Raw genomic sequence first — 17,323 nt, 5'->3', positions numbered from 1 at the left:
AGTAATTTACAGATTCACTGCCCTCCCCCATCAAGCTACCATTGACTTTCTTCACTAAATTGGAAGAAACTAATTTAAAGTTCATATGGAACCAAAAAAGAGCCTGCATAGCCAAGACAATCCTAAACAAAAAGAACAAAGCTGGAGGCATCATGTTACCTGACTTCAAACTATACTACAAGGCTACAGTAACCAAAACAGCATGGTACTGTTACCAAAACAAATACATAGACCAATGGGACAGAACAGAGGCCTCAGAAATAACACCACACATCTATAACCATCTGATCTTTGACAAACCTGACAAAAAGAAGCAACGGGGAAAGGATTCTCTATTAGATAAATGGCATTGGGAAAACTGACTAGCCATATGCAGAAAACTGAAACTGGACCCCTTCCTTACACCTTATACAAAAATTAACTCAAGACGGATTAAAGACTTAAATGTAAGACCTAAAACCATAAAAACCCTAGAAGAAAACCTAGGCAATACCATTCAGGACATAGGCATGGGCAAAGACTTCCTGACTAAAACACCAAAAGCAATGGCAACAAAAGCCAAAACTGGCAAATGGGATCTAATTAAACTAAAGAGCTTCTGCGCAGCAAAAGAAACTATCATCAGAGTGAACAGGCAACCTACAGAATGGGAGAAAATTTTTGCAATCTATCCATCTGACAAAAGGCTAATATCCAGAATCTACAAAGAACTTAAATTTACAAGAAAAAACAACCCCATCAAAAAGTGGACAAAGGATATGAACAGACACTTCTCAAAAGAAGACATTTATGCAGCCAACAGACATATGAAAAAATGCTCATCATCACTGGTCATCAGAAAAATGCCAGTCAAAACCACAATGAGATACCATCTCATGCCAGTTAGAATGGCTATCATTAAAAAGTCAGGAAACAACAGATGCTGGAGAGGAAGTGGAGAAATAGGAATGCTTTTACACTGTTGGTGGGAGTGTAAATTAGTTCAACCACTGTGGAAGAGAGCATGGCAATTCCTCAAGTATCTAGAACCAGAAATACCATTTGACCCAGCAATCCCATTACTGGGATTGTATAGTAGAAGGATTGTAAATCATTCTACTATAAAGACACATGCACACGTATGTTTATTGCGGCACTGTTCACAATAGCAAAGACTTGGAACCAACCCAAATGCCATCAATGATAGACTGGATAAAGAAAACGTGGCACATATATACCACAGAATACTATGCAGCCACAAAAAAAGGATGAGTTCATGTCCTTTGCAGGGACATGGATGAAGCTGGAAACCATCATTCTCAGCAAACTGAAACAAGAACAGAAAACCAAACACCGCATGTTGTCACTCATAAGTGGGAGGTGAACAAGGAGAACACATGGACAGAGGGAGGGGAACATCACACACTGGGGCCTGTCGGGGGTGGGGGGCTAGGGGAGAGATAGCATTAGGAGAAATACCTAATGTAGATGATGGGTTGATGGGTGCAGGAAACCACCATGGCACGTGTATACCTATGTAACAAACCTGCACTTTCTGCACATGTACCCCAGAACTTAAAGTATAATAATAAAAAAGAAAAAAATTTATAAAAGTTTTTCTATGTCAAATAATAACCTGCTATAAAAATATAATGGAAGACAATGCCTCATTTATAATAATATCTGAAAACATTATAAAATGTCTAAGAACAAACTTAATAACATATATGTTTTTAGAACTTTAAAATTTGACCAAAGGGCATAAAAGTAGCCAAATAAAAAGAAGTAGTTATCTTGTTCATAGAAAGATTCAATATTGTAATGATAAGAAAATTTTTAATAAACTTTGATAGTGAACAAACTATCAAAAGGCTTGTTTACAACTGAAATTAACATCTGAGAAAAATCATGAAATTTCTGAAAAACTCTAAAAGAAAAAGATTAACTCTACTAGCTATTTAACAGTATTAATGATAGTATAAATTATCAACACTGCAGTATTGGGAAAGTGAATTATTTCATTACAGACACATGGAGAGCTATTTCAAAAAAAAATCATATATCAAAATAAATTCTAGACATATCTAAGATGTAAATGTAAAAAATTAGCCATAACAGTTTTAGAAGAAAATACTGTGTTAATGTACTTACGATGTTTGAGTGGGTAAAGCCTTTTTTTCTATGGTACAAAATCTAAAAGTCATAAAGGAAAAGACAGATTAATTTGACTAAATACACTTTGAAAGGTTTACATAGAGCACAAATACCAAACACATGACCCCTCAATTGAACTCATTTTCAGTTTTCTTCTATCCTTTAATAACTTCACTTTCAATCTATCATATAATCATGTTAAACATTTTTCCTGAAATCACAGTAAAGGTTCTGTTTCAGCAGTTCATTATCCAATATCAGTCCAGATTCAGGAATCAGGTGACAGTCAACTTGAACTGAAATTTGTACATTATTGAATTCTGTGAAATAACGAAAATAATGTGTTTTATTTTGTTTTTGTTTTTTGAGAGGGGGTCTCCCTCTGTCACCCAGGCTGGAATGCAGTGGCGTGATCTCAGTTCATTGCAACCTCCGTCTCCCAGGCTCAGGTAATTCTCCCAACTCAGTCCCCCAAGTACCTGGAACCACAGGCACGCGCCACCACACCTGGATAATTTTTGTATTTTTTGTAGCAACGGGGTTTTGTCATGTTGCCCAGCTGCAGAGCTCCAGAGTTCAAGCAATCCACCTTCTTCAGACTCCCAAAGTGCTGGGATTACAGGCATTAGTCACAATGTGTTTTTGTTTCTGTTTTTTTTTTTGTTCTTCTTTGAGACAGGGTCTCGCTCTGTTGCCCAGGTAGAGTGCAGTGGTGCAAACACAGCTCACCGCATCCTCTATCTGCCAAGCTCAAGCGATCCTCCCACCTCAGCCACCTGAGTAGCTGGCACTACAGGCACAGACCACCATGCCTGGCTAATTTTTTTTTGATTTTTTGTTTTGTTTCTTTTTGCTTTGTTTTGCTGGGTTTTTTTGTTTTTTGAGACAGAGTCTCGCTCTGTCGCCCAGGCTAGAGTGCAGTGGTGAAATCTTGGCTCACTGCAAGCTCCGCCTCCTGGGTTCACGCCATTCTCCTGCCTCAGCCTCCTGAGTAGCTGGGACTACAGGCGCCCGCCACCACGCCCGGATAATTTTTTGTATTTTCAGTAGAGACGGGGTTTCACCGTGTTAGCTACGGTGGTCTCGATCTCCTGACCTCGTGATCCTCCCGCCTTGGCGTCCCAAAGTGCTGGGATTACAGACGTGAGCTACGGCGCCCAGCCCATGCCTGGCTAATTTTTTAAATTTTTTGTAGAGATAGGGTCTCACCATGTTGCCTGGGCTGGTCTCAAATTCCTGAAGTCAAGCAATCCTCCCGCCTTTGCCTTCCAAAGTGCTGGGACTACAGGTGTGAGCCACCTCGCCTAGCAGATAATGTTTTAAAATACAAATTATATGTCACAGTAAATAGTTTATATTTATCGTCTCATGTAATCCCAACAAATCTATGAAATAAGTACTATTATACTCATTTTACAGGTTAAGAAATTGAGGGTTGGAGAAGTTAAGTTACAGACGTAGTTGTTAAATAGCAGAGTCAAGACTTGAACTCGGGTCTGTTTGTGAATAAAATATGTTTTCTCAATGACCTCATTGCACTGCCACTAATAGAACGGAAGGCTTAATAAGCATAAGACAAAAGACCTCTTTTGTTTCCCCCCTTCTAAATGAAAAGCGAACTTCATTACATATAGAAACGCACATTTATCCTTTCAAAAACTTTTACCAAATACCTACTATATGACAGGTAGATGATCTGGAAGCAGGTTATTCATCAGTCAATAAATCTAAGTGTCAAAGTGTCTGCCCTCAATGGAGGAAACAAGCAGCAGAAAACAAATGAATAAGCATATAACATGCCAGATGGCAATACAAGCTATGAAAAATATAAAAGGCATTTAAGGAGAATAGAGAGTGTTGGGAGAGGTTATGTTCCTAAACAGCAGGGGTTGGAAAAGCTTTTTGCCTGTAAAGGGCCAGTGTTCTCTGTTAGAAACTGCCATCAAGGAAGACTTCTGTGTTAAGGGGACATTTAAGCAGATACCTGAGGCAGGTTAGGGAGCCAAGTTGATATTTAGGAAGAAAGTAGAAAGCAGGGGACCAGAGTCAGAAAGGTGGAAAATGGGGTCAGAGAAACAGGAGAGCCCAGTACATGTGGGGAAATCATCCATCTACCATGCTTGAACAAAATACCTTTTGGTGCCATTGTCTACGAGACAGCACTGAGCTGACCTTTGAGCAGAAGGGCATTATATGCTCTTGTGTTCTCAGAAGAGAGCTGCACAATAGGACTGCAGACTGGAATCACACAGGCCTGCTGTACTCAAAGAGAAAGATACACTTGGTCCTTGGGAAATGGGAAGCCAGAAGAAGTTTATGATTAACTTACACATCTGCTTGATAAGCTCTCCCATTATTGGTTTTATCAAGCAGGGAAGACTAAACATTTGAAATGATCAATTAGCTTAATTATAACTTGGAGCCATGTTCCCTATCGTGAAATGCATTCTCACTGCCCTGACTAGGTGACGTTCATGAGATTTACATGTGGTGTTGCTACCATGATTTTGGTTTAGAACTGCTCTGATTCCCCTCCTTGTGAATTTCTGTTAAAATTCAACATGTTTAACTCTTAATACCTTGCATGCATTGGAGGAAGCAGCATTGTGGAGTCTATGCATAAAATTTATTTTTAATTCTGTTTGGCTGTTGTTAGATGTCTGTGAAAGTTTGGGATTAGAACCCAAGTCTGGTCAAAATCAATGTCAAAAGATGCTTTTTGCCAAGGAAGAGTGAGGGATTAGGAAGGTAACATTTAAAAGGGAAATTTGTTTTGAACTGGAATTATTACACCAAGAAATTATATTCTTAAACAGCAGTGTCTGGAAAGCTTTTTTTTTCTTGAAACGGTTACATAGTGAATATATTTAAGTTTTGTAGGCCATACAAGTCTCTTTTCCAACTGCACAACTTAGCATGCAAGTAGTTATCGACAATATGCAAATGAATAAGCATGGCTTATGAATAAGCATGGCTTGTAAATAAGACTTTATTTACAAGTGAAGTCTTATTTGTAAATAAGACTTTATTTACAGAACAGGTAGCAAACCAGATTTGACCCAAAGGATGTAGCTTGCCGAACTCCACCTATAGGAGTAATTTGGTCATTTATTTCTACAAGTGCTTAAGAAAACAGGTAGGCAGGCAGAAAAGTAGCAGAGTTTGTTTCTTTGAACTCTTATTCATAAATATCCAAATTAAATGTAATTGTCAAAAAACTCCAACTGACTAAAATAAATGCCAAAGAAAAATAATAAGTGTGGCTTAGTACAGATTACCTCTATGGTCTTAAAATGATGTGAAATACATTGATGCCTGAACATGGCAGGGACCAGCTGCTTTTGCAATAGGACATTACAGCTGTCTTATTATGAGGTGTTTCTTACATAAGATTCCATTTGAAAATTGAAAGAAATTGTATAAATCAATTAACATATTAGCTAAGTTGTCCAACACATGGTATAAAGGAATTACAACAGTTAACTATTATACATTTCCAAAAAAAAAGGAGGTGTTTCTGATCAGTCGTATTCCCCCTCCCTCCTTCTGTGTTGTGTGTGCAATCTGGTTAACATTTTCAGGGGTTGCTCTGACACTTCTAAATAGTGCAGAGTTTCCTGCCTGGGGCAGGAGAAACTTGCCAGCTCTCATTGGGCTCCGGCTGACTGTCTCTGCATCCCTGGTGTGCCAGCCTCCCTCGGGCATTGCAAAACGTCTCCACACAGCGTCCGCAGCACAAACAGGGTTCTGTGGCTGGCCCAGATTTCCAGGAGCATCCTCCTCGAAAAAGAGACAGGAGATGGAGACAGGGCTGCTTCATATACCTGCCCAAGTCAATTACGAATTCTCAGAAAGTCAAGGTCATGTGGTCATGTCGTTCCTCTATCCTTTAAGAGACTAACACGAACCTGTTTACATAGAGATTGCTTTATGAATGCTGATTGAAGGGAGATGCTGAGACACTGCCGATGTTTGCCTGTTGGTCACTCAAGGGCCATGTGAGGTCCCAGTATCAGCACCCTTCTCTGTCCCCTTTCCCACCTCCTCACGCAACCCCTCACATGCCAGCTGGGGACTAAGCCCAAAGGTGAGAGACTTTAATACATCTTGGAGAATCTCAGAATTTTGCTTTTATGGACAATACACAGATGAATTTTATAATTCATTAGCATTAAATCAGACCCCGTGGGTCCCTATTAACTATCATTGATGGTACAAGAGCCAAAAATTGAAATGGGAGAAATGTGGTTGTTGGAGTCTTTAAATGTCACACACCCCCTGTTCCTCTTCACCAGTGGTCTTTAAAAAAAAAAAGTATAGTAATAAACTGCTCTTGGAAAAAGGCATTGGTTCCCCTGTGTGTTGGTTGATCCGTTGTCAACTTGGCACTGCTGCCACTCTAAGTCTGGCAACCAGGTTTTGTGAATTTTCTTCCCAGCGTGGATCCAGGTTAGAATTTGCCAGTGAAAGAAACGCACTGGAGATTTGGAATGCAGAAACCATTATTATTTTCCAGAGGTGGTTGCAGACAGATGTGGAAGCAGAAGGGAGATTCCCAGTGGCTCCTAAAGAACTCTACGAACCACCTGCTTTGCCTCAGCAGATTGAGGCAGTTGATGAAGCGTCTCTAAGATTCTTGAGAATTGCAGCCATTTCCACAAGCATTTGAGAGCATCCTGCTCTGGTGTCCTGGCTAAGATCACCATGATCATCAACCCTGGTCTCCAGCAAGCACCTGCCCTTACCTCTGCATCCTCAGCTTTTCCATGAAAACTGTCAGTTCTATGCTAAATGCTTTATGTCTGGAATACGTAGAGTGGCTTCTGTGTTTAGGACTACATCCTGTATCGCATGGGTAAAGGATAGATTCACACACACTAAATAAACATCACCTCAGCATCGACTTTCCTTTTGGAGATCAGTAGGTATTAAGGAGACCATCCATTCATGGAATTAAGTACTCTTTTCCACTGAACCTGAAGTGCTATTGATTATGACACAAAAGTAACTAATAAGAAAGAAAAAATATGCTCCAAATGGGTAGTCTAATAGGAAGCCCTATATAAAGCTGGGATAGGAAGCAGCTATTCTTCAGTGCAAGTTTAAATGAGAAATGAACACAACTTACAAAGAAAAGATAGCAAGAAAACTTGTTTGTATGTCTGAACCTTGCTGATGGGGGAAGGAGCAAATCTCCCTGGAGGATTTGAACTACAAGCTGTTCATGCAGCTTTGTTGTTGGAATTGACACTGCCAGTGTAACTCCAAAACCCCTAACCAGAGAACTTAAAATAGTGTCCTTGATGACTGGCCAAAGCTGAGGCAAACCCTCTCTGGAAGACCTCACCTTCAGTCCAGGTGGGCAGGAATTATACCAACATCAATGGGAAGATGCACCCCCATCTCAGAGACTTAGAAATAGACGGAAAATAACAATGGTGCAACTCAAGATGGATGGCATGTGTTAGCAAACAACAGCATACTAGTAATGTTCTGGGGAATTCCCACTAAGGAAGAAGTTGAGAGCACCCTCTTCAGATGCGTGATACAGAGCCAGGCAGTTTCCAGCATAGAGTTCCAACTGTTTTGCTTACTCTGCAATATGCACCCCCATTCTCCAGACCTGCTGACACCATGGCCACCACCGTCTATGTTCTAACATCTTTCAGCTGCTTCCAGTTCTCAGGACTCACTGAGCCACCCCACATTTCTGAGTTTTAAGAGTGTCATTCTGACCAGGCTACTGTCCTTGCTTCCCAAGACTGGTTAACCTACCCGTTAACTTTCCACACCCAGGTGAGGTTTGGCTCACCTTGTGGCACTTTCCATACCCAGGCAAGCTTTGGCTCCTGGGGGAAGCTTTCCCTGACAGTCTAGTTCATGTAACCCTTCTCGGTGTTTCCACAGCACCTTGCAACAGCCCACAAGCTGATGGTATTTACTGTATGCCAAGTGCTGATCTAAGCATATGACCTGTTTTATCTCAGTCCTTACAACGACCCTGAGAAGGTACAGAGGAGAAACTGGAGGCCAGAACGGTTCAACAGCTCAAGTCAGACAGCCAGCAAGTCAGGAGGATTCAGGATTCAGGATTCTGGGCAAATGCATTCTGGAGTCATGTTCTCATCTCTGCTTTATTCTGAATAGTTCTATGATACTTTTCATCAAATTATTGGCTCATCTAAGATAAATAATGATAACAGCTGCTACAATACACTGAGAACATATTGTGTGTCAGGCACTATTTTATGCTCTTGAATTAACTCATTTAATCCTCACAAAAATCCTATGGGGTAGAGAGTATCATTGTCCCCATGTTACCAATGAGGCTCTAAGCCCATCCCTTTACTCTACGCCTCTGACTCACCTGGCTGACTCCTGTAGGTCCCAGAGACACTCTCCTGGCACTAATTTTTGGCACTAATTTTTGGTGGCAGTTCCTGTGGCCCAGAAGCTGAGGTTGGCGGTTCTCCTATCAGATCTTTTACAGTGCCATACCTGACATTCTGATTTAATTAATTATGATTTTCACTTATCTTCCTTCCTAGACTGAGCCATGTCTTATTTATTTTTGTGCTTCTAGAACTTAGCACAGTATGTAATGCATAATTAACACTCAGTACTTACCTACATGAACTGAAGAACGCATGAAGAAATGGATGCCTGCTATCTGATGCTTTCTTACAACCAGACTTGGAGGCTCTGTTATGATGTGGAGAGTATAGCCTTTGGAGTCACCAGGTTTGAATTTAATATTGCCATTTGGTGGTTGTGTGACTTCTAGCACACTCCTCAACCTCTGAGGGAGGGAGTCTAGTTTCTTCATCAGTAAAATAGTGGTCATCATCTTCCCTTGCAGCTGACTCTAGCTCAAGGGATTTAGTTTAATAAAACATAAAGTGGCCTACTATAGTGATTGGCACACAATAGGTGCTTTGTAAATGTAATTTCTCTTCTTCCTTTCTTGAGGATCTTGAGCATTCAGTTCAATTGAGCAAAATGAATTGTCCATGGATGCCAGACACAGTGTTGAGGCTGCAAGGATGAACAAGACACAGTCCTTGCCCACAAGAAGATGACACTTTAGTGAGAGAGAATTTTAAAAAACAAACTATTTAATTCACATGAGACAGTGTTATTGGGACACATGGGATGGCCTAAGTCAAGCTGTTTGCATGACTCCCCAAAGGTTATCAAGTGTAGACTCCCAAAGAGCATCTTAGAGGCCCAGTTGTCATTAGCCCCCTCCCGATGGCCTGGAAAGCTGAGAAGCAGCTGTGCTCTTTTTGCTTTGGCAGCAGAGTTATGCCTGGAGCTGCACACACAGGTGACCCCTTGAGCATGTGCTGAAGGAATTAAGGTGCTCTGCTGTGATTGGCAGGTGGCCAAGTCTCTAGCAGGGGAGGAGGAAGCAGAAAGATTAGGTGATCAGTTACACTTATCTGAAATACTCATAAGCATCCGGGAGAAAGGGGAGCATTAATACGATATGGAAGGTATAAATGGGAGTGAGTGAAGAGTTCAGTGTTTAGAGGGAGGTTTAGGTTGAATATTTGCGATGGTTAAATTATGTAGGTTCTTGAATTTTGCCCTGTCTTCTTCCTTTTTCTTAGCAGCTGAGAGAAAATGGTGGGTACAGAGTAGGAGTGAAACGAAGAATGTCTTTCTGGTAAAACAAACAAGAGATTGTGGTTCCTATGCTGAACTGAAACTCCTTTCCTTCACAAGGTAAATGTGAGGTTATTGGACAACATCCAATACCCTTCTGCTTATTCTGCCCCTGACGTGGTCAGGGTTTTCAGGCAGATTCTAAACACACTGAGGGATATGTCCACACAAAAACTCATACACCACGTTGACAGCAGCATTACCATACAAAAGCCAAAATGTCCACCACATGATGAGTGGATCAATAAAATGTGATACATCCATACATTGGAATATTCAGCTGTAAGAAACGGTTGAAGTAATAATACCTGCTCTGACATGAAAGAATGTGAAAACACGTGGGTGAAAGAAACAGTCACAAAGTACCACGTGTTGCATGATTCCCTTTCTATGGAATGTCCAGAACAGGAAACTCCATGAGGCAGAGAGTAGACTAATGGTTGCCTGTGGCTGAGGGCAGGGTAGGGGATAGGGAGTGATAGTTAAAGGCCATTGGGTTTCTTTTGGAGATTATGGAAGTGTTCTAAAATTGACTGTGGGAATGTTTGCACAGTCTGAATATACAAAAAACCGTAAACTGTACACTTTGAGTGAATTACATGGTATGTGAACCATATGTTAATAGCCCTGTTTTTAAAATGCTGAGGAATGCTAGTCAAAGTACAACTGACCCTTGGCTCAACCTCTACCCTATTTATCCCAACCAGAGAATGGTCCTGGGAATGGTGTTCAGAGCTAACACATTCATAACATAACGTACACTAAATGATCGGTGTAGGGCCACTTGGAATACTAAAACAAAACTCTCTGAACATTAAAACCAAACAGAACAGAACACACTCTGAAAAGCAAGATGAAAGGTAAACAGAGGTGTGCGGCCACTATCCCTCCAGTTGCCCAGTCTAGACACCCAGGATTTCTTAAAGTAATCTCTCTCCCTCTAGATAGATTAGATAGATAGATAGATAGATAGATAGATAGATAGATAGATAGATAGATAGATAGATAGATACATAGATACATAGATACATAGATAGACAGACAGACAGGTTTAAACACCATCTATATGCTCTGCTGCGGTTCTGAAATATATACCTTAAGGCTGGCTATTTCTCTCAAACTGCATATGAATGATATATATTTTCATATATGTGACTGCCTTCTCAACACTTCCACTCAGATTTCTATAAGTGGGCATCTCAAACTCAAACTGAACACCTACAAAACCCAGCTCTTTATGCTCCCTTGTCCCCACTATCCTGCTCCACCTTCCTGTCTCAGGAAATGGCAATCCCATCCTTTCAGTTGCATAGGCCAAAATTGTTTGAGTCATCCTTGGCGCCTCTGTTTTCATCACAACTCATGTCTGATCTGTGAACAGTGCTGTTGGATTTCAAATCTTACCACTGCTCATCACTGCCACTGCTGCTGCCACCCTGGTCTCCTGTCTCTTTCCTGGATTATCATAGCAGCCTCCCCGCTGGTCTCCTGCCTTCTGCGGGAAGTGTCTTTGTAAGTCCTGGAGTTTTTTCTCCTGCTATATCTCCTTTATTTTTCCAAAACTGCCATGCAAAATTTCTGTTTCTCTGCTATCCCTTTATTTTCTTTCCTGTTTGCAATGCTCCTGTCCCTTTTCAAAAAATAGTTATTAAGAATAATAAGCATATGTTCATATGTTCTTATTAAGAATAACTATTTTTTGAAAAGGGCAGGAGTGCTTCTAATTCCATTAAAGTTCAATGAAAAAAGGCTCAAAGATACCTAAAATGTATATAGAATTTCACCTATATTAGGACAGAACTCTCGATGCTGTGCTTGTCATCAAGCATTGCGTTGATTGAGGTGACAGATTTCATCTATTGCCTGAGGAATGAATCAGAGGTTTTGTCAACACCCTCCTAGACTGTGGAAAATAGGGACTGCTCCCCTGACGAAGGGTGTGCTCAGGCGATGTCTGGAGAGGAGGCGGAGATCAGGATTCAGACATCCCCCGTGGCTGTTGTCTGGCATCAGAGATGAGGTTACTCAGAGCCATTCTCTGAGGAGGACCGTCCACCCCACGCCCTAGGACATTAGGGTCTGCAGAGGCACTGAATGAAAACAGAGAGGATAAATGCAAAAGAAGCATGGGCTCTGCTCACACGTCTCAGTGGCAGAGTTGGGGCTCCCTTAGAAACATTCTGATCATGGCTGCAGCCACCATGGGACTTTGAGACTTGCCACCCCATCTGCCCAATACTATCAAAAGAACCCACAGTGAAAAGGCACAAGGCGATAGGCAGCTGATCCAGCAGAAGATCGGAGACAGCTGGTCATGGTAGCCAAGGGATCAATCACAGGAAGAGGAAGGACAGGGACCATTAATACCTGCTGAAGCTCTAAGCATCAAAAATGATACAGAGCTCTTTCCTCTACACAGAGTTAATGCTTAACTGTAAAACAAGTCTAAAAATGTCCAAGAAGTTCTGATTTTTTCCCCTATAATATCAAATAATTTGAAAAGAAAAAAATACAGTGCCTCCGACTTGATAGTACCTAAACATCCACACATTTGGTCTGCCTTTAGAATGACACAGTATCTCAAGGCAGAGAAGGCTCTCCTCATATAGCAACTTGCCTGGACATTTATTCAGATCAAGCTATCCCTTATTGACTGCCAGCTATATGCCCAGTGCCACATTCAGCAATTTTGCAGACCTCCTTTTCTAATCCTAACAACAATAGTTTTATGATGATTAGGAAGACAAATTTTTCTTTTTGAGATGGAGTCTCACTCCGTTGCCCAGGTTGGAGTGCAGTGGCATGATCTCAGCTCCCTGCAACCTCCACCTCCTGGGTTCAAATGATTCTCCTGCCTCAGTCTCCCGAGTAGCTGGGACTACAGGTACGTGCCACCACGCCTGGCTAATGTTTTGTACTTTTAGTAGAGACGGGGTTTCACTGTGTTAGCCAGGATGGTCTTGGTCTCCTGACCTCATGATCCACCCGCCTCGGCCTCCCAAAGTGCTGGGATTACAGGCGTGAGCCACTATGCCTGGCCTGAAATGATTTTTTTTCTATTCACCCAGCTTTTCTTGGTGGTAAAACTATGATTCAAATCCAGGTTATTTGGACACATATTCCATATTTTTCTCATTATGCTAAACAGATGCCTTATTTAGGATGGTGTGAGGTTGTGGAATTTTAGGTTATTGGAGTTTATCTATTAGATGTTTAGTTTTTCTGAAAGGCTTCCTTCTAATGTGTTATGGTCAGCTTGCTTACAAGTTAGGGAGTTTTGACAGCTCCCAAGTTGTCCAGTACAGAATTTTATCCAGGTTTCTGGGTATGAGCTTGAGCCAAAAGAAAACATGACACCTTGGAAAAGTGACCAGGGCCCTTTGTGTCTCAGGCACCTGTAAAATAGAACTTGCATTCTTGTTGGAGATACAGTATCATGCCCTATAAAACATCTTTTTTAGAGGCTGATACCATAAGACAATAAACAGAAGCATCAGTTTCTGGCTCCAGCAAAGATGTACTTGTCTGCCTCATTCTCCCCCTGCCCCCTCTCTCCCTGCCAGGAAGGAGGTTGTGTAGCACAATAATCCATCAAAGTTGTGCTGTCAATAATAGCAAAAGAAAATTTGTTAACCAGATGCTATCCTCTAAGGAATGCATCAATTCCATGAATATTTATTGAGCACCTTCTATGTCCCAGGAACTGGAAATGCAGTGGTGAACACGGGGATGGACAAGGTCCTGTTCTCACAAAGTTTTCCTTCTAGTAGGAGGAGAATGACAACAAACCACAAACAAATAATATTGAATAAGCAGTAACTGCTATAAACAATACAAAATAGTACAAGGAGCTCAAGAGTGATGGGGGTAAGGGCTGGTGCTCAAATTATATGGTCAGAGAAGGATTCTAAGTGTGGAAATGTGAGAATGGAGCCAGCCATGTGAGGACGCAGGGAGGAGCCTCCTGGGCAGAGGGGACCCAGGAGAGAAAGGCCAGTGCCCCAGAGGCAGGAACAAGCATGTTGCATTTGATGCAAGGGGGAGAAGGTCCACAGGGCTGCAGCCTGAAGAGTGCACAGAGGGTGCCACGAGTCACAGAGTTAGGAGGGGCCTGCTCACAAAGGACCTCGTAAACCAAGGTAAGGGTCAGATTTTATTCTAGGTGCACCTGAAAGCCACTGGAGAGTTTTAAGCTAGAAGTTGATTTACTGCTATAAAGACATTGCATTCTGGGAGGCAGGAACAGGAATAGAAAAGCTGTTTGGAAGGGACTGCAATGGCTCAAGGGGGATGACGGTGGCAATGGAGAAGGTGGTGAGATGTGAGTAGATGGAGATTAGATTTTGGAAGTCCTTGGCCTGCTCCTGCAGAAGCCTGTAGAAATCCAACCTCACCTATGTGGGATAGGGGCTGAGATAATGGTCTCTTGATTCTGACCACATAGGATGTCACGTGGGAAGCCTGCAAAATGCAACCTGAACCCAGGGTGAAGCAGAGGATCTTCACTAAAATGAGAGAATGAAGCCAAATGCACCAAATGAATCAAAATGAGAGAAGTTCCCACCTGGACTCTGCATGGTTAAAAGGAAATCTGATCCAAAAAGCAAAAACCTATTCAACTCAACATCTTTGTCTTCCTGATGAGTAAGAACTCCTCTATCAGTAAAAGCATTGATCGTTTGCTATTTAAATTGGAAATATTTTTATCCCTTTTGTTGTTGGCTTTTAGTTCTGTTTATTTTTTTTTTTTTTTTACTTATTAAAGGATTTTATTTTTCTATAATAAGCTCTAACTAGTCTTGGCCTTTATAGTTTCCACCTTTGCTTTTATACATAAAGAAGCATTTGACGTCCAATATTGTAAGTTACTGATCTATATTTCTTCTTATTTTTTAGCTTGAATCCATTCTATTTTTAAGCATGACATGCAATAATAACCTCATTTTATTTCATTTTTCCAAGCTACCAATCTCCCCAGGACCACTTGTTTTATTCTTTCTTTCAATAATTTGAAATGTATCTTTATCACATGCTAAATATTTTTTAAACTTGGGTGTAGCAGATTGTATTACTATGATCTTGCCAAATATTCCAGAGGCCTTCTCTGTGGTAGTTCTCCTGCAAGAGGATAAAACATGTCCTGCTGAACTCAGGTGTGGCCATATAGCTTGTGTTAGCCAATGGAATTCAAGCAGGAAGGACATATGTCACTTATGACCAGAAGCGTTAAGAGCCAGTGAGTGGTTTTCCATGTTTCTTTTTCCTCTGTAACAATACCACGAATGTTTCCAATAGATGCTGCTCCATTAGCCTAGGTCCCAGCAGGAAGGCAACGTGGAAGTGAGTTCAGCTGACCCATGACAAATATATAGCTTGGACAAAATATAGACCTTTGTTCCAGCAAACTGCTGAGATTCGAGAGACTTTGTTCTCACAGCATAACCTAGACTATCCTGATAAGGATGTGTTTCTCGCCTCTCTCTTATGTCTACTCTTGTTCTAGAAACACAGAGATGATTCTTAAATGCTACACCTTACCCACCTAAGACTAAAATATGCATAACCCCTAATCTGAAAGTCTTTGGAAAACAAATCAAAAAATAAATATACTCAAATCATTCCTTGCAAGGGTTTCCATGTTTGCTATTTTCTTCCTACATTCAGCCTTCCAGAATGCAGAGTGGCAACCTGTAGGGATTGAAAAGGAAGGAAGTACTTGGGAGGAAGTGGCATTAAAACTGTCTTGAACACATTCCATTTAAGGATTTTAGTGTGATCCTTTTTCCACTAAGACAAGAGTCCTGGTAATAGAATGGCTTCTCAGGCTGTTGCCTGCATCACCATTACAACTATGCCATTCTCTCTCTGTCACTTCCTTGGTTTGGGCCTGACTCGGAGCTCCACGTCAAGTGACAATATTTGGTCACCGGAAGTGGTGTGGGAAAGTGAAGAATGGAATTTACCTAGGGAAATGCTGAAAGGTAGTGAAGCAGGAAGCCAGTAAAAAAAAGTGCCATAATCCCATTTCTTTCGCCTGTCAATGCTGTTTATTTCTCATGCATGCGAGCATGGCTGGGCAGCCTGCTGCACCACAGTCCTTCTGTAAGGGAAAGCTCTCAAAGGTGGCATTGTGATTTAAATGACACTGGGTCAGAAACGATTAAATGCAAAAGCCAGGAGGGATTTTCAGAGGAAGCATCTTCTAAATGCTGTGCCTCCATCTGGAGGTGACTTGTCCAGCCCCAAAAGGGCAGAGTGTGACTCCCTGCAACAGCAACTCCGAGACACGGCACTGAAACCCTGGAGAAGGTTCAGGGTTGCATCTTCCCAACTTTGAAACTATCCTCATGGCCTTCCACTTAGCCAGTAATAAGAATGGATGGATTCTCATTAGAATCACATTTGTATGGACAAGACCTAATTCTGCTCCTCTGCCCAAGTTTTGACCTTGAGCAGCAGCCAACATTTGACTCGCTCTTGAGCTGGAAGCCATAGCAAACTGTACTGTTTCCAACAGCATTTCTACTCCAACTCCCCTCCACAACCACCTCCATGGCTCAGCAGAGATTCGCAGACATATAAATCAGAGTTGGCTTATTTTGCAGGGGGATGGAGAACTGGACGTCGCCCAGAGAAGTTACACCCAGAACAATTAGTCATCAGCAACAAACATTCCATACAGCACATCACAGAAGCAAGAACCTCCAAAGTCCAGTGCAGTTAAGAACAGAAGCAGCTGGAAAAATAGAAAAAGTTGGTAAAGAGTCTACCACAAGGCCAAACTTTGAAGAGTGAAATGAAGAAACTGAAAATTCTGTGTAGCTGTCATTGGAAGCCCTACTGTGAAAAAAGGTCACTCAAAAATGATATTGGATACAAGAAGAGAGCACCAGTGAATCAGCTGAAGGAAAGCAGAAAAACACAAAAACTGGACCAAACCAAAGATATTTACATCACGTCCTTAATGGGAAGAAATCCACTGCACATGGTAGTGGTTAGAGATTACTGTCACACTGAAGATACTGGTGAGTAAACTTGATATGGTTCTCGCTCCATAGCTTAGGTTCAATCATTCTGAGCTGATAAAAATATTTTCTCTTCATAAATTCTCAAATTAAGGCATCCTTTCGGGCTTTTTCCAGACAAGTATCTCAATTAGGTGGACCCCACTGCCAAGTGAAGGCAGAATTCACGTGCCCAGACTGGACAGCCCAGTTAAGCAGCAGTCCTTACAGAATTGCATCATAACAAGGCTTAGGCCTGTCTGAGCATGCTACAAGTTACACTTCACACCTATAACCTCCTTTCATCCTCACAATGCCTTTGTAAGGCAAGTAGGGTAGATATTTTACAGATAAGGAAACTGAGGCACAGTAAAGTCAGAGTTACAAAGCTGGCAAATGACAATGTTTTATCATGGAAACTGACTCTTGGGCCTTTTCTTCTAGCCCCTGCTGCCCTACTGGAAGACTTTTCCAGAAAGATGCTGTGAATACTTATTGCTCAAGTCCACAAAGAAAGA

At 41.5% G+C, this 17,323-nt stretch overlaps 1 long non-coding RNA gene across 1 annotated transcript in view, besides 2 other annotated features; it reads right to left on the bottom strand.

Annotated features, from left to right (window-relative positions):
• LINC02408 (long intergenic non-protein coding RNA 2408) overlaps window positions 1-17,323 on the bottom strand; it is a 47,050-nt gene that overhangs the window by 15,837 nt on the left and 13,890 nt on the right. The window contains exon 2 of the long non-coding RNA NR_103861.1: window positions 2,131-2,172. This is a non-coding gene — a long non-coding RNA (long intergenic non-protein coding RNA 2408). The remainder of the gene's footprint in view (window positions 1-2,130; window positions 2,173-17,323) is intronic.
• Window positions 9,491-9,570: an enhancer, noted in NCBI's record as "active region_6628". NCBI's record gives its function as "activates an Ori minimal core promoter by ATAC-STARR-seq in GM12878 lymphoblastoid cells {active_cell/tissue: GM12878}" and the evidence as "EXISTENCE:reporter gene assay evidence [ECO:0000049][PMID:35858748]".
• Window positions 9,761-9,820: a silencer, noted in NCBI's record as "silent region_4640". NCBI's record gives its function as "represses an Ori minimal core promoter by ATAC-STARR-seq in GM12878 lymphoblastoid cells {active_cell/tissue: GM12878}" and the evidence as "EXISTENCE:reporter gene assay evidence [ECO:0000049][PMID:35858748]".

Source organism: Homo sapiens, chromosome 12 (assembly GCF_000001405.40).
Source record: "Homo sapiens chromosome 12, GRCh38.p14 Primary Assembly".
Taxonomy (NCBI): Eukaryota; Metazoa; Chordata; class Mammalia; order Primates; family Hominidae; genus Homo; species Homo sapiens.
The sequence above is the reverse complement of the archived record's forward strand: the minus strand, read 5'-3'. Positions and strand labels throughout refer to the sequence as shown.